The 25,859-nt window shown below is 37.3% G+C and overlaps 1 protein-coding gene across 15 annotated transcripts in view; it reads right to left on the bottom strand.

Annotated features, from left to right (window-relative positions):
• STXBP4 (syntaxin binding protein 4) overlaps window positions 1–25,859 on the bottom strand; it is a 244,509-nt gene that overhangs the window by 194,940 nt on the left and 23,710 nt on the right. For 6 of the 15 annotated variants that reach the window (XR_007065289.1, XM_047435714.1, NM_178509.6 and 3 more), the window contains exons 5-8: window positions 18,883–18,989; window positions 18,492–18,702; window positions 17,451–17,526; window positions 10,737–10,828 (exon numbers count right to left, since the gene is read on the bottom strand). Coding sequence is in view for 14 of the 15 variants with exons in the window: in XM_047435714.1 (XP_047291670.1) it covers window positions 10,737–10,828; window positions 17,451–17,526; window positions 18,492–18,702; window positions 18,883–18,989 (486 nt within the window). In the remaining variant the exon portion in view is untranslated. Of the gene's footprint in view, window positions 1–10,736; window positions 10,829–17,450; window positions 17,527–18,070; window positions 18,119–18,491; window positions 18,709–18,882; window positions 18,990–25,859 lie in introns of all 15 variants that reach the window. The other 9 variants (NM_001398481.1, XM_047435715.1, XM_047435717.1 and 6 more) reach the window with 3 other exon arrangements.

Raw genomic sequence — 25,859 nt, 5'->3', positions numbered from 1 at the left:
CATCCCTCTCAATCCGGCAGAGTGTCCGCTGTGCTCCTGATCCAGCAAGTTGCCCATTGCCGTTCCTGATCGGGCTAAAGGCTTGCCATTGTTCCTGCACGGCTAAGCGCCCGGGTGCGTCCTAATCGAGCTCAATACTAGTCACTGGGTTCTGTGGGTTCTCTTCCGTGACCCACGGCTTCTAATAGAGCTCTAACACTCACCACATGGCTCAAGATTCCATTCCTTGGAATCCATGAGGCCAAGAACCCAAGGTCAGAGAACACGAGGCTTGCCACCATCTTGGAAGCGGCCCACCACCATCCTGGGAGCCCTGGGAGCAAGGACCCCCAGTAACATTTTGGCGACCACGAAGGGACCTCCAAAGCAGTGAGTAATATTGGACCACTTTTGCTTGCTATTCTGTCCTATCTTTCCTTAGAATTGGAGGAAAATACTGGGCACCTGTCGGCCAGTTAAAAATGATTAGCATGGCTGCCAGACTTAAGACTCAGGTGTGAGGCTGTCTGGGAAAGGGCTTTCTAACAACTCCCAACCCTTCTGGGTTGGGAGCATTCGTCTGCCTAGAACCAGCTTCCGCTTTCAATTTTCTTGGGGAAGCCAAGGGCCGACTAGAGTAAGAAAGCTGTCGTCCCGAACTCCCGGCTTTAGCCAGTTGAGATCATGGCACAGCCAGAAGTCTCTATTCAACAGTCGCCCATGCGTGCACCCCTACCTTTCCTTCTAACCCATACCTCCTGGGTCCCGACCACGACTTTCTTGAAAGTGTAGCCCCCAAATTCTTCTTACCTCTGAATCTACTTCCTCTGATCCCTGCCTCCTAGGTACTAATGATTCAGACTTTCATTTCCTCTAGCAAGTTGTATCTCCAAAGGGATCTAAGGAAGCTCTACGCTGCTGCGTCCTTAGGCATCTAGGCTATAAACCCAGGGAGTCTTGTCCCTGGTGTCTTGTCCCTCCCAATTTAGGCATACAGCTCTCGACATGGGCAGTTATGTAGGATCCGTTCCCCATCACCCTTGCCAGGGCCCCAAGTTTGTAAATGGCTAAGAGAAAAGAGACAGAGAGGAGAGAGACAGAGGCAGAGAGGAGAGAAACAGGCAGAGAGGCGAAAGAGACAGAGGAGAAAAAGAGAGTCGAAGAGAGAAAGAGAAAGATAGAAATAGTAAAAAACCAGTGTGCCCTATTCCTTTAAAAGCCAGGGTAAATTTAAAACCTATAATTGATAATTGAAGGTCTTCTCCGTGACCCTATAACACTCCAATACTACCTTGTTGTCAGTGCAAACAAGGGTGTAGCCTAAAAATACTGAGACCACTGACAACCCTTAGCCTTCCTATCAAAAATCCTTAACCCAGTAACCCACGGACGGCCCAGAGGCATTCAGCCTGTAGTGGCAACTGCTTTGCTAACAGAAGTAGGAAAGTAACTTTTAGAGGAAACCTCATTGTGAGCACACCTCACCAGTTCAGAATTATTCTAAGTCAAAAAAGCAAAAAGGTAGCTTACTAACTCAAAAATCTTAAAGTATGGGGCTATTCTGTTAGAAAAAGGTAATTTAACACCACTGATAGTTCACTTAACCCAGCAGATTTCCTTACAGGGGATTTAAATCTTAATTACCATACAAAGGACCAACCAGACCTAGGAGGAACTCCCTTCAGGACAATAGAAGGTTCCTTCCAGGTGATTGAGGAAAAAGCCACAATGGGTATTCAGTAATTGATAGCGAGGATCTTGTGGAAGCAGAGTTAGAAAAATTGCCTAATAATTGGTCTCCTCAAACGTGAGAGCTGTTTGCACTCAGCCAAGCCTTAAAGTACTTACAGAATCAAAAAGACTATCTCAATCCTGACTCTAAAGGTTACCTACACCCTCTCTGAAACGAATTTGCATAAGAACTATTTATGGGAATGCATCTTGATGGGGCAGCTGGGTTGTTATGAAATACTCAGGAACCCAGCCCAGCTCTAGGACTCACCCCTGAGCACAAAGGCAACGTTGGGCACACTGGTAAAGGACTAGAATCCAGCACTCTGGACCCCTTTCTTTGTGGTCAAGAAAGGTGAGAAAACAGGTGCAGGACTGCTACATCGGTGAGTGTAACTAAACCGATAAACAGAGGTCCATGGGTGGTGACGCACCCTGGAAAGGAATAAGCATTAGGACCATAAAGGACGCTCTAGGACTAATGCTCATTGGAAAATGAGTAGGGGTGCTGGCATCCCTGTTCTTTTTCCAGAAGAGAAATGTTCTCTCCAAGGCAAAAATGCCCTTAAGATGTATTCTGGAGAACTGGGACCAATTTGACCCTCAGACGCTATGACTTATATTCTTCTGCAGTACTGCCTGGCCATGATATCCTCTTCAAGGGGGAGAAACCTGGCCTCCTGAGGGAAGTATAAATTATAACACCATCTTACAGCTAGATCTCTTTTGTAGAAAAGAAGGCAAATTGAGTGAAGTGCCATATGTACAAACTTTCTTTTCATTAAGAGACAACTCGCAATTATGTAAAAAGTGTGATTTATGCCCTACAGGAAGCCCTCAGAGTCTACCTCCCTACCCCAGCGTCCCCCCGACTCCTTCCCCAACTAATAAGGACCCCCTTTCAACCCAAACGGTACAAAAGGAGATAGACAAAGGGGTAAACAACAAACCAAAGAGTGCCAATATTCCCCGATTATGCCCACTCCAAGCAGTGGGAGGAGGAGAATTTGGTCCAGCCAGAGTGCATGTACCTTTTTCTCTCTCAGACTTAATAGACCTAGGTAAATTCTCATATAACCCTGATGGCTATACTGATGCTTTACAAGGGTTAGGACAATCCTTTGATCTGATATGGAGAGATATAATGTTACTGCTAAATCAGACACTAACCCCAAATGAGAGAAGTGCTGCCATAACTGCAGCCCAAGAGTTTGGCAATCTCTGGTATTTCAGTTAGGTCAATGATAGGATGACAACAGAGGAAAGAGAACAATTCCCCACAGGCCAGCAGGCAGTTCCCAGTGTAGACCCTCATTGGGACACAGAATCAGAACATGGAGATTGGTGCCACAGACATTTGCTAACTTGCGTGCTAGAAGGACTAAGGAAAACTAGGAAGAAGCCTATGAATTATTCACTGATGTCCACTATAACACAGGGAAAGGAAGAAAATCCTACCGCCTTTCTGGAGAGACTAAGGGAGGCATTGAGAAAGCATACCTCTCTGTCACCTGACTCTATTGAAGGCCAACTAATCTTAAAGGATAAGTTTATCACTCAGTCAGCTGCAGACATTAGAAAAAACTTCAAAGTCTGCCTTACGCCCAGAGCAAAACTTAGAAACCCTATTGAACTTGGCAACTTCGGTTTTTTTATAATAGAAATCAGGAGGAGCAGGCAGAACGGGACAAACGGGACAAAAAAAAAAGGCCACCACTTTAGTCATGGCCCTCAGGCAAGCGGACTTTGGAGACTCTGGAAAAGGGAAAAGCTGGGCAAATTGAATGCCTAATAGGGCTTGCTTCCAGTGTGGCCTACGAGGACACTTTAAAAAAGATTGTCCAAGTAGAAATAAGCTGCCCCCTTGTCCATACCCCTTATGTCAAGGGAATCACTGGAAGGCCAATTGCCCCAGGGGATGAAGGTCCTCTGAGTCAGAAGCCACTAACCAGATGGATCCAGCAGCAGGACTGAAGGTGCCCAGGGAAGTGCCAGCCCATGCCATCACCTTCACAGAGCCCCGGGTATGCTTGACCATTAAGGGCCAGGAGGTTAACTGTCTCCTGGACACTGGTGTGGCCTTCTCAGTCTTACTCTCCTGTCCCGGACAACTGTCCTCCAGATCTGTCACTATCCGAGGGGTCCTAGGACAGCCAGTCACTAGATACTTCTCCCAGCCACTAAGTTGTAACTAGGGAATTTTACTCTTTTCACATGCTTTTCTAATTATGCCTGAAAGCCCCACTCCCTTGTTAGGGAGAGACATTCTAGCAAAAGCAGGGGCCATTACACACCTGAACATAGGAGAAGGAACACCCGTTTGTTGTCCCGTGCTTGAGGAAGGAATTAATCCTGAAGTCTGGGCAACAGGAGGACAATATGGACAAGGAAAGAATGCCCATCCTGTTCAAATTAAACTAAAGGATTCTGCCTCCCTCCCCCTAAAGGCAGTACCCACTTAGAACCAAGGCCCAACAAGGACTCAAAAAAATTGTTAAGGACCTAAAAGCCCAAGGTCTAGTAAAACCATGCAACAGCCCTGCAATACTCCAATTTTAGGAGCACAGAAACCCAGTGGACAGTGGAGGTTAGTGCAAGATCTCAGGATTATCAATGAGGCCGTTGTCCCTCTATACCCAGCTGTACCTAACCCTTATACTCTGCTTTCCCAAATACCAGAGGAAGCAGAGTGGTTTACAGTCCTGGACCTTAAGGATGTCTTTTTCTGCATCCCTGTACATCCTGACTCTCAATTCTTGTTTGCCTTTGAAGATCCTTTGAACCCAATGTCTCAACTCACCTGCACTGTTTTACCCCAAGGGTTCAGGGATAGCCCCCATCTATTTGGCCAGGCATTAGCCCAAGACTTGAGTCAGTTATCATACCTGGACACTCTTGTCCTTCAGTATGTGGATGATTTACTTTTAGCTGCCTGTTCAGAAACCTTGTGCCATCAAGCCACCCAAGCACTCTTAAATTTCCTCGCCACCTGTGGCTACAAGGTTTCCAAAGAGAAGGCTCAGCTCTGCTCACAGCAGGTTAAATACTTAGGACTAAAATTATCCAAAGGCACCAAGGCCCTCAGTGAGGAATGTATCCAGCCTATACTGGCTTATCCTCATCTCAAAACCCTAAAGCAACTAAGAGAGTTCCTTGGCATAACAGGCTTCTGCCGAATATGGATTCCCAGGTATGGCAAAATAGCCAGGCCATTATATACAGTAATTAAGGAAACTCAGAAAGCCAATACCCATTTAGTAAGATGGATACCTGAAGCAAAAGTGGCTTTCCAGGCCCTAAAGAAGGCCTTAACCCAAGTCCCAGTGTTAAGCTTGCCAACGGGGCAAGACTTTTCTTTATACATCACAGAAAAAAACAGAAACAGCTCTGGGAGTCCTTACACAGGTCCAAGGGACAAGCTTGCAACCCATGGCATACCTGAGTAAGGAAACTGATGTAGTGGCAAAGGGTTGGCCTCATTGTTTATGGGTAGTGGTGGCAGTAGCAGTTTTAGTATCTGAAGCAGTTAAAATAATACAGGGAGAGATCTTACTGTGTGGACATCTCATGAGGTGAACAGCATACTCACTGCTAAAGGAGACTTGTGGCTGTCAGACAACCGTTTACTTAAATATCAGGCTCTATTACTTGAAAGGCCAGTGCTGCAACTGTGCACTTGTGCAACTCTTAACCCAGTCACATTTCTTCCAGACAATGAAGATAGAATATAACTGTCAACAAATAATTTCTCAAACCTATGCCACTCGAGGGGACCTTCTAGAGGTTCCCTTGACTGATCCTGACCTCAACTTGTATACTGATGGAAGTTCCTTTGTAGAAAAAGGACCTCAAAAAGCGGGGTATGCAGTGGTCAGTGATAATGGAATATTTGAAAGTAATCCCCTCACTCCAGGAACTAGTGCTTAGCTGGCAGAACTAATAGCCCTCATTGGGGCACTAGAATTAGGAGAAGGAAAAGGGTAAATATATATACAGACTCTGAGTATGCTCACCTAGTCCTCCATGCCCATGAGGCAATATGCAGAGAAAGGGAATTCCTAACTTCCGAGGGAACACCTATCACACATCAGGAAGCCATTAGGAGATTATTACTGGCAGTACAGAAACCTAAAGAGGTGGAAGTCTTACACTGCTGGGGTCATCAGAAAGGAAAGAAAAGGGAAATAGAAGGGAACTGCCAAGCAGATATTGAAGCAAAAAGAGCTGCAAGGCAGGACCCTCCATTAGAAATGCTTATAGAAGGAACCCTACTATGGGGTAATGCCCTCCGGGAAACAAAGCCCCAGTACTCAGAAGAAGAAATAGAATGGGGAACCTCATGAGGACACAGTTTCCTCCCCTCAGGATGGCTAGCCACCGAAGAAGGAAAAATACTTTTGCCTGCAGCTAACCAATGGAAAGGTAACCAATGGTGCACTGTGAAGTGTGCCAAAGAAATAATCCCCTGCACTGCAGGCTATACATTTCAATCCCTGTATCTTTAACCTCCTTGTTAAGCTTGTCTCTTCCAGAATCGAAGCTGTAAAACCATAAATAGTTCTTCAAATGGAGCACCTGATGCAGTCCATGACTAAGATCTACCGCGGACCCCTGGACCGGCCTGCTAGCCCATGCTCTGATGTTAATGACATCGAAGGCACCCCTCCTGAGGAAATCTCAACTGCACAAACCCTACTACACCCCAGTTCAGCAGGAAGCAGTTAGAGCGGTCGTCGGCCAACCTCCTCAATGGCACTTGGGTTTTCCTGTTGAGAGGGGGGACTGAGAGACAGGACTAGCTGGATTTCCTAGGCCGACTAAGAATCCCTAAGCCTAGCTGGGAAGCTGACCACATTCACTTTTAAACACAGGGCTTGCAACTTATCTCACACCCGACGAATCAGGTAGTAAAGAGGGCTCACTAAAATGCTAATTAGGCAAAAACAGGAGGTAAAGAAATAGCCAATAATTTATTGCCTGAGAGTACAGCGGGAAGGACAATGATCGGGATATAAACTCATGCATTCGAGCCACCAATGGCTACCCTCTTTGGGTCCCCTCCCTTTGTTATGGGAGCTCTATTAAATCTTGCAACTGCAAAAAAAAAAAAAAAAAGAAAAAGAAAATAAACTCTTTGATCCCACAATACTTAAATTAACTGAAAATTTTTGAAAAATACAGAAATGACGAACTCAAAATTTCCCCTCTTTTGGGGAGAGGTACATATGATCAAGAAGAAATACATTAGCAATGTCAAAGGTTCTGATTCTTAAGTTGGGTGATGGGTAAATGTGTGTTTTATTATTCTTTAAACTGTATGTGTATAATACATACATTCTTGTACATGATTAATATTTTAATATAAAGAAATTTAAAAAAAATTAAAAAAAATAATGCAAATAAAGTGTCTATCACAGAAGGTGCTCAATATATGGTAATTCTTACATTAAGTAATAAAATTACACAATGCAATTAACTCAGTGTACTTTGATATAGAGCTAAGCTTAGTAATAAATGACAGTTTTGTTGAAAGTAAAATTCACACTAGAAGAATACCACATGTCATGTTAGGTAAGCTCTTAAATTTAAGTTGGAAGTAACATGTTTTATCAAAAAGTAGGTCTCATATGTAAGCAGAATATGTATGGGGAAAAAAGTAAAACAAAAAGTTGGTTCCAATAATTTATTAAATGACTAAGGTCATCTTTTAATCTGAAGCAAAAATAAAAGTTTGTTAATTAGACAAATAAATGTGCTGAAGTTTTTCTGATGTCTGAATGATGAATTTTAAAAATTACTTTGTTACAATATTAGTCACACACCTTTCAGCCTAATACAAAGAATATTTCATTAACTATAATGAGACATTGGGTATGCCATTGCTCTCTACAGTTTTCTTGAAACGTTACAGAAATGGCAAGAGGTAAAAGTAAATATCAGCGAAATGGCATCCATATCCCAAAGCATCTTCCATAGGTATAAATATACAGATAATGCAGAGGTACGATATTTTGATTTCAAGCCAAGCAATAAATTGTATCCCTATTTGCTAAGTTTATAATGCATATTTATAAGTTTAATATTAGGATCAAATGAGACATATACTATTCATACTTTGAAGAAATATATCACTACAAATAACTATGCTGAAATAACATTAAAATATCTGTATATTAAATCATTCTCAGAGTATTCACAGAAAGAGGCAAATGTAAATCCATTTTACAGACAAGGAATTAAGAAATAACTAGTTCAGTGTTATAAATTTCTCTACTTAAACCAATAAAATATAAAAGAATTCATGACAATGCCACATGTATATATACATATGTCTGAACATATATATGTTTGTATGTGTGTATATATATATATATGACATTGTCTTGACAGGTAATTTCCTTAATCAAATTCTAACCTCTCTGCTTTCCTTAAAAATTGTACTGGGTAGGCTAATTACTTAATAAATTCATAATTAGTAAACATCCTTTCCTTGTGAAATTTTATTAAAACACCAATTTTCGAGCTGCCACGTGTAATGTTTATAGAAGATTAAAAAATATACTATTTTATTTTATTTTATTTTAAATACCTGATCACATTGGCCTTATTTATTACTGAATAGGAATGTGTTAAAACGTAATGGACAACAAAGTTGAATCTGTCTACAAAGTAGCAACCAAAAGAGAAGGACCTATTTCAAGCTGAGATGATACTGATATTATGACATTAATATCAGTATGTGCAAAACAAGTAATAGCTTTTACTTGTGTTGTATTGCATCAGTAATGCAAAACAAGAAGAGTAGCTCAAGAAATAATTTGGGTGGATAGATGCTAATGTAGATTTCACGAAAAAAGTTATTAAGAGAAATATAGTTTCAAACTGAAAAAAAAGAATGCTCTACTAAATAAAATTAACAAGTCTATCTTGATTAAGAGCAGAGGCTGAATTTATATCAAATGTGGGTTTCTTTGATGTAAAACTGGCATTTTACTTTTCCACAAAAATAATTTGTTAAGGCTTAAAGGGGAACCAAAACTGGAATTCAGATTTAATGGCCAAGCAACTCATATTTCTCAGAATCAATACAAATTTCGATTTTCATACCTCAAAGAATATTAATCAGATTAAAAATAATATCATGTGCTAGAAAAATTTAAACTAAGTAAAATAACAAAGTCTGTCAGGTAAAGCAGTTAGCTGGATAAATTTCTCCTTATCCAGAAGAATGGTATTAAATCTTGGATGTTCAGAAATGTATACTAAATCAATATCATTGAATAATTATTCATTTTTAGATATGTAATTGTCATGCTTTTAAACTTCAAACACTCTATTTTTGAAAATATTACTATTAACTGATTGCAGACCAAGCGTTAGCCAGAACTTACATTTTAGCCACAAACATAAACACACGTTACAAAAGATACTCAGGATTTTGAAAGTATAAAGGAGACATCTCAAGTATCTAATTAATTGGAAAATTTTATGGAGCACGAAGCAGCTATTTAAACACTAATAGGTGCTACAGGGTCTGCGGTGAAGACACTTATAATTTCATTGATAAAACAAGATATAGAAAAGATTATAGGGCACCAAAAAGTGAAGGTAAGTGCTACTAACGTGCAAAAGAAGGCAATGTTGGTCCGAACTATAATAGTTAGCAAAGTCTGAATGAAGGAGATGGAACTGAATGACAAAATCCAGGACATGCTGCCTCAAAGTATGGCACTTTGGTGTGCAAGAAAACAGCAGAAGCCGGAAGGTCTTTCTTACCTTCTCTCACCTTTTCTCCCCTGAGGTGGGCCATAAAACCCAGCTGATCCTCCCCTAAAAGTAGATTAAAAGACCCTCATTCCAGAGAGGACCTCCCTATACCTAGAGGAAAGGAAATATCTTCAACTCTGAAGACACAGAGATGTTAAGAATCTGAACAAACAGGCCTTGCTATGCTCCCCCCAGTTTATTACCATCAGATTACACCCTTTTGTGCTCCAATTACACTTCTGTATGACTGTTCATAAAAATACAGTTTTCCCTGTTTCTTTGGGTTTTCATTTCTGAAGGTTCTCATGTCAGGTAAAACATACATTAAATAAATCTGCATGCTATTTTCTCGTTAATCTGTCTTTTGTTATAGGTGTCTTAGCCATGAATCTACCGATGGGTGAGAAAACTTTTCTCCCCTATGTGAGTTAGAATTTAGATAAGATTCAAATTGGCAATGAGAAAGGACTATCATAGGACCAAGCAAAGGTGTGGATATGGGAATAAACAGATTGTGTGCTTTATTTTAGCTATGCATTTTTATACTCTTCCTAAAATGTAAGAATGCTTTATCCTCAAAAACTGACTGGAAGGTAGAGTTTGTGGTCTTTCAGCAGTATATCCATTTTACATCAAAAAAAAAAAAGGGGCTTATTTTTCCCTTCAGATCCCTGGTAACCTGATAAATGCTTTCGAGTGCTTTTCTGCCTTTAATTTTTCTTTTTTAATCATCTTAAGTTTCTTTTACATGAGAGTCTCAATGTTCCACTTTCCCCAGGACTACTTTTCAGTGCTTTAGTATACTGCCACCATCTTTCTATATTTAGTGGACATCTGACTATTTTGTTCTTTAAAATTTTGTTTCCCTTTACTTAAAAAAAATTGAATAATGGACTATTACTTGATTGTGTTTATTGCCATTATGAAGCCTCGTCTACTTTGCCATAATTTGTTACATCTTTCCATTTATTCTAGACTGTAAAAATCACATTTGTCTTATTCTCCGAGGAGAAAACTATTTGATCCAAATGCCAATTTAGTTATGAAAGATTTTATTTCTATTTTGTACTAGTGAACCACCATGAACTACCAAATTCAAATGTGAATTAAATAATTTAAATCCAAACTGCCATTCATTTAATTGTAAATAAGTAACTTCAAGAAACTAATGACTCCAGTACTTTATCCTCTCAAAGAAGGAGAATACTTCTTTCCTGTTTTTGTCTTATGGAAGAAAAATGAAAATTTAAAGGTTTTACCATTTCCAGTTTCTCTGCCTTAAAGCGAACAGAGGGATTTAGGGAGATCTTTTCTTGTAGCCCATAATTTTCAGTCCAGGCAGAAGCAACATCTAAGAGACAACAGGGTGCACATTAATTGGGAACTTAATTGGAATCGAAATTTTTATTTGACAGGATATGTTCTGAGTTCCTGCTGTTCAAAAATAATTCTAGCTAATCAGTTAGCAGCTTTTAGTTTTGTTTGCATAATTTTTTTTTCTTTTCTTTTTTTTTTTTGGAGGGGGGACAGAGTCTCACTCTGTTGCCCAGGCTGGAGTGCAGTAGCACGATCTTGGCTCAATGTCTGCCTCCCGGGTTCAAGTGATTCTCCTGCCTCAGCCTCCCAAGTAGCTGGGACTACAGGTGCATGCCACCATGCCTGGCTAATTTTTGTATATTTAGTTAGAGACAGGGTTTCACTATGTTGGCCAGGCTGGTCTTGAACTCCTGACCTCAGGTGATCTGCCTGCCTCAGCCTCCCAAACTGCCAGGATTACAGGAGTGAGCCACCACACCCGGCAAGTTTTCATAATTTTTTTAAGTCTAAATTTTTTATATAAGTTGGCTTTACTTAAGTCCTAAGATATAAGAGTAGGCAATTATGCATTGTGAAGTCCCACAGATATATTAACTTAAAAGACAAACATACATCCCACCACTACTACATCACCACAATGCCTTAAAAAGATAAAAAGTCTTTTTGTTCAAAGATGTTGGTATTTTTTCGACTGGCAAAAGTGTTTTGTGATGTGTATTCTGGAAGTACTCTGGAAAAAACCATAAATGCAAGTCATTTCAAGTTTGCACATAAAGTATAATACAGATTCTGTACTTTGAGCTAAAAATCTTATCTCTTATTTTAAAGACAGGTTACATTTCAAGTAGCATAAATGAATTTGCAAGAGCTAAAAGTCATACACTTCTTACCCATTTTTCTACATCTTCTCAATATACCCTGATTATTTAAATGAGCCTTTGTCCTTAGTGCATGAATAAAAAAGATGCTACAAAAGACCAGAACTTGAAATACTGTACGTTTTAATATGCCAAAGTTTGTAAAACAAATTCCTGTAATTCATATTGATCTTACTATCTAAATTGCCACTATTCTAAATACACTTTTAAATGATATTTTACTAGTTCTACATAGAAACAAGAGGAAGAAGAAAAATCTTTGGAAAATGTCACATCTTTATGCAGTGTTTTAATTTTTTAAAATTTCTCAGAGCATCTGTCTCTAAGTACAAAATGATTTGCATTCTCTTAAGAACATAAGAAGTGCATATGAAAATAAATAGTCTTCCTCTAAACCTTTAACACATCCTTAACATTCTATGTAAAATCTTTAATATAGCTTATAGGTGTCAAGATCATAAAAAAATGGATGCTGACTTTTAGCTTCAAATGGAATTAAACTTTGAAAAAGACTGATTTTAGTATTAAATAGAATTTTTACAATTCTGATAAAAGTAAGTGAATCTCCTTTGTAATCATGATACCTAATTGTTGGCTATGAAATTAAAAATAATATATACATAGTGTATATATATACACACACATATACATATATACATATATACACATATACATATATGGGTATGCATATATATACACACATACACATATAATTTTTTTATATACATACATATAATTTTTTTCCTCTCTTAAGAGAAATCCTGTGCCAAACCTAAAGTGTAGTATAAAGATAGCATGGAGTGGAATGATATGGAAGACCAACCAGCAGATAACTTTATTTTTCATCCTTTAAGGTTTGGATATGTGAAGCTTGTCAATGACTTCCAGCTTGGTGTTTGGTCTGCAATTAAGGCACATTAACACTAGGTGGACCCAAGTGAACCTGATTATGGTCTCAAAGACTAAACCTGGGCTTGAATTATTCATTTCAAGTGTTAAGTGATTGGAAGAGTTGCAGAGGGGAGAGCAAGGGGGAGAGAGGAGAATGAGAGAAGGTGAGACAGGAACACCTACAACACTGACACACTGAGGAATGTGTTCTCACTTACGTTTTCCTACATCTAAGCATAAAAATTTGCTATCTCTAACAGTGAAAAGAACAGAAGCTCCTATTTATGCTTACTTCTATCTAAACAGTAAACTATGTACCTATATAAGCTCATTAATCTTCAAAATGACCACAGTGACCATAGGTGTTATTATTCCCATCCCAAAGATGAAAGACCAAGGCAGGAAAAGGTAAAGAAATTAGCCTAGGTTACACAGCTAGTACATTATAATGTCACGAGTCTAATCTCTTGTGACTCCAGACCAATGTTCTTAAGTGTGTTCAACATCTTTCATAATCAGTTTGCTCATCTATAAAGTAGAGGGAATAAACCAGACTGCCTCATAGGAGTTAGAAGATCAACAATATCATAGAAAACTACTGTGAAAACTTATGCAGTATTGTTAATATCAACACAGAGACACTGTATTATAAGGAGATTTAATGTAAAATTACACTAACCTTCATTTAACAATATGCAATCAGGGCTTAACAAAATCTTGTTTTTTCCAGACAACTTAGACCTTTACTTTTGAGTTAAAACCTTAAGAGGGTCTGTGTATAACTCCAGCACACTTTGTCAATTCAGAGTAACTTTACCTGAAAGCCCCTCATAGAAGTTTTCCTCATCTGCCAATGACATCTCTCTATCCCAGCTCCAAGCTCTTTATTTGCTCCTTTCTGGGGGAGTGAGTTTTTCTAAGTATGGCTTATTATTCTCTTGGCTCTCTCTCCTTCTTGTCCTTCTCCTTCTCCCCACTTCTTTTCCTTCTCCTTCTCCCTCCGTCTCCTTCTCCTCCTCCTCCCCGCCTCCTCCTCCTTCCCCCTCCTCCTCCTTCTCCTTTCTTTAGAGGCGTCTTGGTCTTGCTCTGTCTCCCAGGCTGGAGTGCAGTGGCCTAAACACAGCTCACTGCAACCTCGACCTCCTGGGCTCAAGCGATCCTCCCACCTCAGATTCCCAAGTAGCTGGAACCACAGGTGTATGCCACCATGCCCAGCTAATTTTTTAATTTTTGTAGAGACAGGGTCTCACAATGTTGCCCAAGCTGGTCTTGAATCCCTGGGCTCAAATGATCCTCCCATCTCGACCTTCCAAAGTGCTGAGATTATAGGTGTGAGCCACCATGCCTGGCCTCTCTCGGATTTTCTGTTCCTATCCTCTTTGTAGCAGCAGAAGAAAAGGAATGTTTTGTAAGGAAAGGATCAATACAATTTGCTTAATACCATGAACTCTGAATGGATATTTTTCCCCATAACTATTTTGCTTCAGTTTCAAAAGACTTGGTCTAAAGGAATTAAGGCTTTACGCGCTATTAGTAAAGTTAAAATAATGACTGTATTTCTTCATGCAACAATTCTTTTTTTTTTTTTGAGATGGCATCTTGCTATGTCACCCAGGCTGGAGTGCAGTGGCATAATCTCAGCTCACTGCAACCTCTGCCTCCTGGGTTCAAGGAAGCAATTCTCCTGCCTTAGCCTCCCGAGTAGCTGGGACTTCAGGCGTGCACCACTGTGCCTGGCTAATTTTTTTTTTTTCTATTTTTAGTAGAGACAGGGTTTCACTATGTTGGCCAGGCTGGTCTCGAACTCCTGACCTCAAGTGATCTGCCCGTCTCAGCCTCCCAAAGTTCTGGGATTACAGATGTGAGCCACCGCACCTGGCTGCAACAATTGTTTATTGCTATCCTTAGAAATGTCTTTAGTATATTGTTAGCTCACTTACAAACTCATGTGTTATTCAACTTATATATAGCACTAGTAAACAACTCTGGATTTTGAAATAAATTTCTGTATAATAGCATCATTTTTAAAACATTTAAATATTATGTGGATTTTAAAAATTCTAACCTATTTTACACTTTGGGATGATTTTTAGATAAGAACAGAAATAGAACTATCTAATTACATTTACTTTTGTTGAGGTTAACATTAAAATTTGTTTATATTTTTTGTATTAGCATCAGGTAACTGAAGAAATCTAGAAGTGATGGTTAATTTCTGATTTGTAACAATCTATAATTAGGTACTTATAATATGCAAATCACAATGTATATAAGTTATCTAGAGATAATTTAGAGGTGATTTTGCCTTTTTTCCACTCCCCAGAAATATCTTGCCTACTACATTTATGTAGAAGAAAATGAGACTGAGTTGATGCACTTTCTACTCTAGAAAAATGTTCCGTCTTAATTGTATTTTAATATTTACCTATAACTTACTTAAATATATTTTTCACTAACCTATTTTTCTATTACAAAATCTACCACTATTCTTATAGCGACTGGTATAAATTTACCTGAGTTTATTCATTGTTAACAAGATCTCTGCTCTAATCACACCTGACTCTTAGAATCATCTGACATCTAGCTCATCCTTAGTTCTATGCTTTTATTTGTGGTGCTTCCTTAACTTGAAACGATCTCCTGTGTTCAGTTATCAATTGATGTTTACCACTTTTTTCAAGATTTGGATAATGTCTGACTTTTGCCAAGAAATTTTTCTTAATTTCTGCATATTGTGACAGATTCCTTATTATATACTAGTTTTTGGGGTCAAGGGGAGGACATAAAATTGAATCAAGAATTGGAAGCTTTCCTTCTGCTCTATAAACATGACCTAGAATATTATCTGAGCTACACTCTAAGCTATAGGTTCCATATTATTAGTAACAGGAAAATTTAGTAAGCATATACTATGCACTAATTACAATATAAGTGCTTGACATGCAAGATCTTGTTTAATCCTCATAACAACTCCTTGTAACTTGTAACTATTTCAAGGTTACAGAGCTAATAAGATGAAAGCAAGAACCTGAACACTGAGTCTGTATTCAGAGCCTGGTGGTAACCACTGTGCCTTCCTTATACCATACTCATAGCACTCACTACTTCCTTCCTTAGGCCTCTTTGTTCATGTCTTTACATAATTTGTGTAAATGTGTTATTCATCCACAAGACAGAATGCTTTTTAGAGTAACAAAACCACCCATATCCTGCTCTGATTAACACAAAAAACTGCAAATAGTAGCTGCTTGATAAAATAAACATACACACACATCTATAAACAAATACATGCATATAAATTAGAATGTTTCCTAATTTCAATAATTATAATTTTTAGCCCCATGTTTTATTTCACAATATACTATTAAGTATCTCACAGAAAATATCCTAATTTCTTCATAATTCCCGTTGTACTGTATTCTACACATATAACATAGTAAAACCTTACTGAATAAAAGGTTAAAATAGGCATTGAATAGTTCAATTACTTTAAAAGTTAAAAACATGTTATATAATTATTAATATTTTATAATATCAAGGAATAAAGGGTTCTGACTTCCATCATCTAGCAATTTTGATGCTCATCTCATGACTGTTTCATTTGTCTTTTTCTTCTCATAAGGGTTCCCAGTTTAAAATAAATACAGTACATGCAGAGACTGGAAATTAATTATGTAAGAGGAATAATGCTATAAAGTTGGTCAATAAATCTAAGTAAAAGGTAATATAACTCATGGCTTAAGATTGCTATTAACCCACTGGTAAATACCACCCCAAATCGGAGGAAACTACTGTGGAATATAGTATAAACTCCTGTAAAGATTGGTAGCTATTGAGCCAGGCACGAGCGGTGGCTCACGCCTGTCATCCCAGCACTTTGGGAGGCCAAGGCAGGCAGATCACGAGGTCAGGAGATCGAGACCATCCTGGCTAACATGGTGAAACGCCATCTCTACTAAAAGTACAAAAAATTAGCCGGGCATGGTGGCAGGCGCCTGTAATCCCAGCTACTTGGGAGGCTGAGGCAGGAGAATGGCGTGAACCCAGGAGGCGGAACTTCGACAGAGCAAGAATCCATCTCAAAAAAAAGATTGGTAGCTATTTAATTTAAATTAATGCTTCCTTATTTTTCAGTTCTTATATAAATAATGCTATTAAAACAAAATTAAAATATACAGGTAAAAATTTACCTTATAATTAGGCATATATAATTAGTTTTTCAGTTATGTTTAGTCTTTTTATCATTGTTGTGTTTAACTTTTGGAGATAATTTCAGGGGGCTTTTTTTCTTCGTATTGATCCTGTAAGCACCTTATAGCCACATAAAAATCTTTATTTTACATTTGGCTTAGATAATTAACGCTTTATTGTTTTAAAAAGTCAGTAAATCATTTTATGGTAATTAAGAATCAATAATAATGAATTAACAATACTGACACCCTTTATAATTGATATCCATATGATTTCTTCCAAAAAAACAAGATACATTTCTTTTCTTAAGGTATGCTCCCTTCTATAATGTGTTTTCCGAAAGGTGTATTTAATATGCCTCATCAGTATTGCACTAAAAGGACATGGCAACCTAATCTTGATCTTTATAGAAGACTTTCCATTATTTGATTTAAACAATTCATTAATTATTACAGCTTCATAAACACTGTTATGACAATGCATCTTTTGAAACTTCAACTCTTTGTTCAGGGAAATATCTAATAAAAGTCATACTTTAACAGGGCCCAACGGAAAGACATTATTTTTACTTTTTCGTTCACTGAAGGAACAAAGACATAATTCACCCTTCTTCAAAGTCTTAAGTCACATTACACACTCCTCATTGAGAGAGAATTGAAATAAAAAACAGGAAATAGAAATTAAATGTGTATTTACCTGTATTAGACAAACCCACAGTACTGTTTTCTGAAGTAATTGGAATCTGTACTGTTTTGTTGTATCCAGTTTTTATCTGTGAAAGAAAATGAGGAACATGCAATGTCATTTACTAAAGTAGGTCACTTGAAGCCCATGTTAACATAAAAAGAATGGTTAAAGAGATTAAAGTAATTATCCCTCAAATATGAAACCTCTAAAATTTTGGTATATGCATCTTCAAACAAAGCAATTCAGAATTAAAGGTAACAATTGCTTTCAGCTCTACCACATCCAAGGATAACAAAATATAAGGCCACTCATCTTGTCTTTTAAAAGTATTATAGCTCCAAGTGACAAAGTATAAGGGGCTGACAGAAAATCTTATACTCTGTCTCTGTTCAGCATGTACCAGAGACTGAAGTTACCTTTGATGAATTTTATTCTACTGACTAAAAGCTTAAGTTTCCTATTTTACAGCTAACACAGATATAAATAATACACACTTTATTCTGTAACTGTAATTTGTTCAGATAATATAGCAGTTAGTAATTGAGTATGTTAATTCTGATATAGAAATTCCCCATTTTGTGTGATTCTACTTGGGTGAACTATAGCATGCACACATGAAGGAGCAATACCTTCTTAGATTGGATGCCTGGGATTAGCCTCACTGTGTGGGAAAGAAGCTAAGGAACAAAAAGGAAGATGGCCTCACTTCAGTCAAGCAGAGAACAGAAATGGCAAATAACTAAACCAACTGAAACCAAATATGACATTCTTAACATAGTTTTGAGTGATATCTAGGCATATCTTTGTGGAACCATTTTGTCATGCTGGTATTTTCTAACCAATCATGCTCCTGGACACAGGACATGCTGACTTAAAATATGTTTATTGAAAACACAGCATAAAAATTTTAAATAGAAAAAAATCTTTCAAAGAAATATTAATTTGTTAACAATTTTACTGAAATAATTCTATATGTACATAACCAATGTAAAAATGTATAGGGAATTTATGGAGTGCATATATAGAGAAATTTAAGATTACCTGACTTACCTCACAAGAAGATAAAATGTCATTATTTGTTTTGGGAGTGGATGAGGTCTTTGGGATTAGTATTTCAGGAGGAGAAGAAAAAAGACTTAATGTTGAGGCTTGAGGTCCATATTCTCCTGAAGCTTCTATAAGTGATGTACATGACAGATTTTCTGGCTGAATGTTGTCGGATTTTTGTCTTATGAATGCTATCTCCCAAGCAGATTCTAACCTAGTACTAAAAAGAAATCACTTTATGGATATGCTATGAATATAGTACAACTGAAATCCAAGATAATGTTTCAGATGTTATTAAAAAATACTTATTATAAAGTACTTAATACATCTTAAATTACTGCTTTCAAGGAGACATTCTAAATGACTCATTCTATCTCATGGATAGTATAGTTACCTCAACTTGGCTCCGGTAATTATGCTTTTTGCTTCTTCAAATGATACACCAATCATAGATTCCTTGTTGACTGAGACAAGTTGATCTCCTGGCTTCAAACGACCATCCTAACAAAAACAGTAACATTTATAAAGGAACTAATGAGGTATTTAAAAAAAAATTAATTGATGTAATTAAAGCAATGAAAAGTTTTCGTGAAGAATGCCTTCAAAAAGAGTAAAAAGTAAAATCTTAGACAACCTCAGTAGCAAAATCTCTTGATTAAAGTCTGGTTTGGTAACATATATTATGAGTAAAATGGAATGGTTCATGTATTGCATGAATAAATTTACGTGGTAAAGAATTCTTAATATGGTAGGTAGGACATAGGCCAGTATACCAGGAAAAGGGACCTGTTTTAAAAACTGAGCACTATGGGGCTGATAAAGCTCTGACTCTGTGATAAAGTGGGCCAAATAACTGTGGGATATTTCACAATACAAAACTCATTTATTTTATTTTCTCTGCATTCCTACATATGTCCTCCCACCAAACTGTTCAATGTGTGTGTGGATTTATCCCACATTGAGATTTTTAAAACTTTAGTCAAGGGTTTTTAAAAAAAAAAAATTAAATTTTCAAAATTTTTTGTAGAGATGAGGTCTCATTACATTGCCCAGGCTGGTCTCAAACTCCTGGGCTCAAGCAATCTTCCCACCTTGGCCTCCCAAAGTGCTCGGATTACAGGTGTGAGCCACTGCGCCTGGCCAAGGATTTTAATTATATTGATCCTACCCATATTTCAGCATAATCTTTTTTACTATACCTGCTATCCCCCTATGATTAAGGCCTAGTTGGCTGTGCATATATTGTTAGCCATATCCTGCTAATAATGACAATTCTAACTGGCTGCCTGGTGTTGCCTTTGCTAAGGCCTGGCTTGCTCACAGCTAGCCTAACTGAGTAAGACAGAGCATATCAGGAACAAGAGTTAATGTGGTTGTTAGATATGTTAGATAAGTTTCCCAGTTTTTGTCTTTTCTTTTCATTCAAACTAGAAAATAAAAATAAGCTTTCTTCTTTTACAGTTCCTAAGGTATTTCCCTATTTATCATTAATTAGTACAGTGGTAGAAACCATTATTTTTATAACTACAGAAAAAGCTTATATGGTTAAAAAGGGAGATTTTCACCTTGATGGTACTTAAGTAACTTCCACAAATTCAAGAAAACATCTTTCTTTAAAGTCTTATCTACTAAAATATATCCCTTGGATACTGATCTTTGATCTAAGCTGTATTATTTGTAATAATGGTGATTCACAGTTATTTTACTCCTAAATAACAACAGGTATTATTATTTTTTAAAAAGACATGAAGTACTATCTCTTTCACTGACTAAAGAATATATAGGAAAACAACAAAATTGACATAAAACATTCATGAAAGGATTTTATAGAAACATATCTCAAATAGTGTGTAAAAGATTATATAATCTAGATGCATAATGACCCTATCCTACTGAAATGTAAACATTATTTAAAATACTTAAGCCAAAAGAGTCAACTTAATTTTTAAAAATATATAAGCCAGGCACGGTGGCTCACATCTGTACACCCAACACTTTGAGAGGCTGAGGCAGAAAGATTGCTTGAGCCCAGGAGTTCAAGACCAGCCTGGGCAACATAGTTAGACCCCATCTTTCAAAAAAAAAAAAAAAAAATAGCTGGCACATGTCTGTAGTCTCAGTTACTCAGGAGGCTAAAGTGGGAGGATCACTTGAGCCCAGGAGGTCAAGGTCATGACTACGCCACTGCTCTCCAGCCTGGGCAATGAAGCAAAAATCTGTCTCAAAAAAAATATATATATATATAAAATATATAAAATATATATATATTTATATTATATAATATATATATTTATATTATATATATTTATGTTATATATATAATTTAAAAAAAATTTTTGATTTTATGTAAATATGTGATTAAACATAGTTAGCAAAGTCAGACAACATAACATGCAGTGTTAGTACAGAAAAAAAGTTCACATGAAGGCAATTTAGCCCATCTTGTATTAAAGTACACTGATGTATAGAAGCTGCATTTTCTGGCAGGAAGGGAGTCAGAAAAGAGAAGAAGAAGAATGCCTTCTGACTATGACTTCTGGTGTTTACATATTTTTTCTTTCTAAAAAGTATTCATAGCAGTTAGTTTTTTTCTTTGCCTCCTAGAATAAGATCTTAGCTGATCATGTGAATTTCTGAACCTGTTTAAAAGTCAGAACCTGCAAATGAAAACAAAGCTATTTTTGTAAGTCTGGCATTCGAGTGCATTCTGCCCCAGATGGATTAATGTATATGTGAAGATACTAACTTCAGAGATATGTTGAGACCTCTTCCACACAGTCTAGATTCCAATTCAGCAGTTACAGAGCAACTACCTGACATGGGAGGCAATGTGCCAAGCACTTTCATATGCTGAACTTCAGATCTGAATTCTTTCACATTGACATTCATGTAGATGTTGAAATAATAATATATTCCTGACCACATAAACACTTCTGTTAAAAACGACCAGTACTATTCATTTCTATATTGACTTTGGTATATAGTTTTCTAAATAATACATTTCAATATTATGAGAAACCATCTATACAGCCTAATTCTGACTTAACTAACTCATTATACCTAATACTAAGGAATAGTCCTTCTGTAAGCCTTAAGATTCCTTTCCTGTACTTTTACAAGATGTAGACTGATGGTGACCTTCTTTTAACTCCAGTTATTACTGTGAACTGAGGCAAGTTGTTCAGCTTTTATGAACCTCTATTTTCTTAGCTGTAGAATGGGGATAAATATATGTAACACAAGGTTGCTATAAGAATTAAGTAACATATGTAAATTATAGCACATTATACGTGTTAAATAAGATGAAGTGAATGAGACTTCCATATCTGTTGTGGACAATTTTCATACTGATAGCAAATTTAATTATATTACTCATTAGATTGAGAACCTTTGATGGCTGCCAACTGGTAGGAAAAGTTGAAACTCCTCAACATCCCAAACCCAGCACAACAAATTTACTGCAACTTACTTTTTCTAGCTTCATCATCCACCTTCCACACCAGCATATTCTTCATTCTACTCTCAGAGAATGTGCCTCAAACCAGCCATGGTCTTTTGAACCTCAATGTTTTCACACATATGAATTCCCATCTAGAATGCCACCATCCACCCTGCCACTTCTCTGCAATAAACTCTGACTTAAACTTCACAGCCCAATTCAAACACTATCTCTGCTGGAAGTTTTCTCTAGTTGCCCAGGATTTACTTAATCGTTGTGTCTTTTTGCTCAAAAAGCACTTTTACTTACCTAAAGGATTGCACTTACTCTGTATGGTCCTTATGTTTACATATCTGCTTTTCCCTGCCCTCACATTAGAATATACTAAATCAGCAACTCCCAGTCTAGGGGCAATGATTCTTTTAGTGGGCCAGAATCACCAATTCTTTCATTAGGCATAACTAGAACTCTGTCCTTTTCATGGTTATTTCCCTGGTACAGTGCTAGGTACACAGTAAGTCCACAATAGGTTAAAGGGGGCCAAGAAACAGTCTGAGGAAATTAAGGTAGCTATGACAAAAATAATAATGGCAAAGGAATAAAGAGAGTGACACTGCAAAGCGAACCATCTTGGCTGCTACTTCTTCAGCTCCCACCAGTGGGACTGGTTTCTTCATAGTTTGCCATCCAGAGGCCTGATCCTGATATTTATCTAAAAGCCTTAGCCCTGGTTCCAGTGCTATGCTCCGCATGAAAACAGATTTCCTCTGAAAGTTAAATATGTCCTACTTCAATGCCACAAATTACATGATGACACTGACTGTGAGACCTATAATTTCAGAGATAGAAGAGGAAAAAATACGTACATACACACACTCATAAGTATATTACATACCGATATATGCATGTTATATATATGTGTGTGTGCATGCATAGCTTATATGTATATGTTTTAATGTATATCTTAGAACCAACTGAAGAAAATATGAAATATACTATCAGATTTGAAGAGAGGATTTTGATTTCTGTCTGCTTTCCCTATGTTACCAGCAACAAAAGAAAGAAATAAAAATGAACATTTGAGAACTTTAAAGTGTTGTCGGAAATCTGACACAAAGGCCCAAGGAGGAAGTACCTTGGTGTGGAGCCCAAATGGTGCCAGTGGAAGGGTAAATAAGCAGATCAGTAATCCTCAGAAATGTGAGAAAATGACTACGGGACCGTTCATTCATAAATTTAAATTGAGCAAGTATGTATGTGTCAGGCACCACAGTGGGGACTAACAATATTACTGTGAATAAAATCAGATAGCATCCTTGCCCTTAAGAAACATACTGTCTTGTGGTTCAGGCAGAGATGATTAAACAATCATAAATATAAATATATCATTGCAAACTGAGGTAGGTGACACAAAGGAAAGGAATGGGATTTAGGAGCATATGTAGAAAAAAATAAAACCTAGCCTAGACTGGGGGAAAGCAGGCAACACAACCCTTAGGCAGCAGTCTTTGAATTGATAACTGGAAATAATGGGGGAAAGGAAATGGAGTGCTGTTTCCTAAGGGAACAGCATATGAGATGGAAAAGAAAAAAAAAAAAGAGAAATTCGCCCCTTCCAGGAACTGAGAAAATGCTACTCTGGAAGCATAGTGATGGAGAGGCAGAGAAGGACAGGGCAGAAGCCACACTATATGGAACCTTGCAGGCAACCAAATATTAGTAAGATATGTAGGTTGGGAGGGAAATAGGTATGGTGCATAAGAACAAACGATGCTACTGAAAGGGCTGATTCAAAACTGATGACAGTTTAAGCTCCAGTGATAAGAATAAAGATCAAGAAGACTGATGGGTTCAAGAGATATTTCGAGAGTAAAAAAGTCAATGGTATGTGTTAATGAATTGAACAGTGTTATGGGAGTTGAAATAGGAAGCTGTTAAATTTTCTGACTTTGTGTAGCTAGAAGCTGTCATTCACCAAGACTAGGTAAACTGGAAGAGACTCTGTTTGGGAAGAGTTGAGCAGAATATGGTGTGATGTAAATGTCATGAGTTCTGCTTCAGAAATGCTGAGTTTGAGATACCTTTAAGAGGTCCAAGTAAAAATGTTGATCAGGGAACTGAATATGGGTATGAAGCTTAAAGGAGTGTCTTGGCCAGAAAAAGGGTCTAGGATTGACCCCAGATAGATATGGGACTAGCTGACACAGTGAAAGGGCCTTGGAGCTCTCTTATTTCCTTAACTTTAGCAATTAATACAGTAGTTCTCAATTTATAGGGTGCCTCTAGCTCTTAGAGCTGAGGGAATCTTGGTTCTGCTTGAACTGAAAAGATGTATTCATAATATCCCATATTTGAACTCTGGATATGTTTTTCAAAGAAACATACTATTTTGCTTCTACTAAACCAGTATTTTATTCTCATATTTTCCAGGAGGAAAACTTTTGGGGTGGGTGGTGGCAAACCATGAATAATTAAAGAAAATTTCTTCTGCGTTCCAATAACTCCCTTACAGTTTGGAAGATTTGAAAATATAAATGAAATATAATCTAGCTATAAGCTTGAGATAGCCTATACTGTTAATTATGAAACATTATAATGTTAAAACAAAATTACAGAAAGTTAAAGCATTCATATGCATTTAAAAAATATTAACAGTTACTCAGTTCAGCAACTTCATTAAGATAACCTTATGAGTTTGTGTTTCCTATTCCACAGATTCTACTATGTAGAAATTTTGTGCAGACTAGAAATTTATTAACATGTTAAAACAGTATTTAGAATATAGTAAATGTATTAATACATTGTTGTAAAATAAAGTTATATCAATTTTGTATTTGAAGAATATGCATATGCATAGAGCTCTCCATCTTGAGAAAATATTTAAAAATAATGTAAGCACTAGAAAATTACTTCTATAAATTTTTTTATTTTTTAGAAATGCTCTGTTGCCCAGGCTGGAGTGTAGTGATGCAATCATAGCTCACTGCAACCTGGAACTCCTGGGCCCAAGGGATCCTCCTGCCTGGGCCTCCAAAAGTGCTGGAATTAGAGGCATGAGCCATCACCCCTGGTCCTCTTCTCCTACACCTTTTTCTATCTTGCCTGTTTTCCTTGGTCAGATATGACCAGGTAGGAAGAACATTAATAGCTCTGTGCTGCCCTCTAGTGCTAAGTAGAGAATATAGTCAATGAGAAAATTTTGCCTTTTAATACTTCAGTAAAATTCTAACAAGAAAAAGTAGATATCATAAGAATAATTTCTTAATCTGCTATCACTGACAGAAGATAAAGAGTCATTCAGCACCACCGCTATCAACTTATTACTCTAACTCCAAATAGTTTTCATCGTAACAAACAAGCACAAATTGATGCTTGTCTTAAAAGCAAATTCTTAGGTCAGGCGTGGTGGCTCATGCCTGTACCCCCAGCACTTTGGGAGGCTGAGGCGGATGGATCGCCTGAGGTTGGGAGTTCGAGACTAGCCTGGCCAACATGGTGAAACTCTGTCTCTACTAAAAATACAAAAATTAGTTAGGTGTGTTGGCACGCACCTGTAATCCCAGCTACTAGGGAAGCTGAGAGGTGGGAGAATCGCTTGAACCTGGGAGGTGGAGGTTGCAGTGAGCCGAGATTGTGCCACTGCACTCCAGCCTGGGCAACAGAGTGAGACTCTGTCTCAAAAAAAAAAAAAAAAAAAAAAAGGAAGCAAATTCTTATCACTTGTTGGGTACCCTGATCTACTATTGCATTATATCAAGTGTAGTTTAAGAAATGCCTTACTATATTGAACACACACACACAGACACACACTCACACACACCTCTCAGCTTTAACACTAAAGTAACACCTCAATTCTTGGAAGAAAAAATTCATTTTTTTGTTTTTTTGAATTTGTTTAAATTTAGCTTTTAAATATTTATTTAATAATTTAA

The sequence above is a fragment of the Homo sapiens genome, chromosome 17 (assembly GCF_000001405.40).
Source record: "Homo sapiens chromosome 17, GRCh38.p14 Primary Assembly".
Taxonomy (NCBI): domain Eukaryota; kingdom Metazoa; phylum Chordata; class Mammalia; order Primates; family Hominidae; genus Homo; species Homo sapiens.
This window is presented reverse-complemented; position numbering and strand designations above follow the sequence as displayed.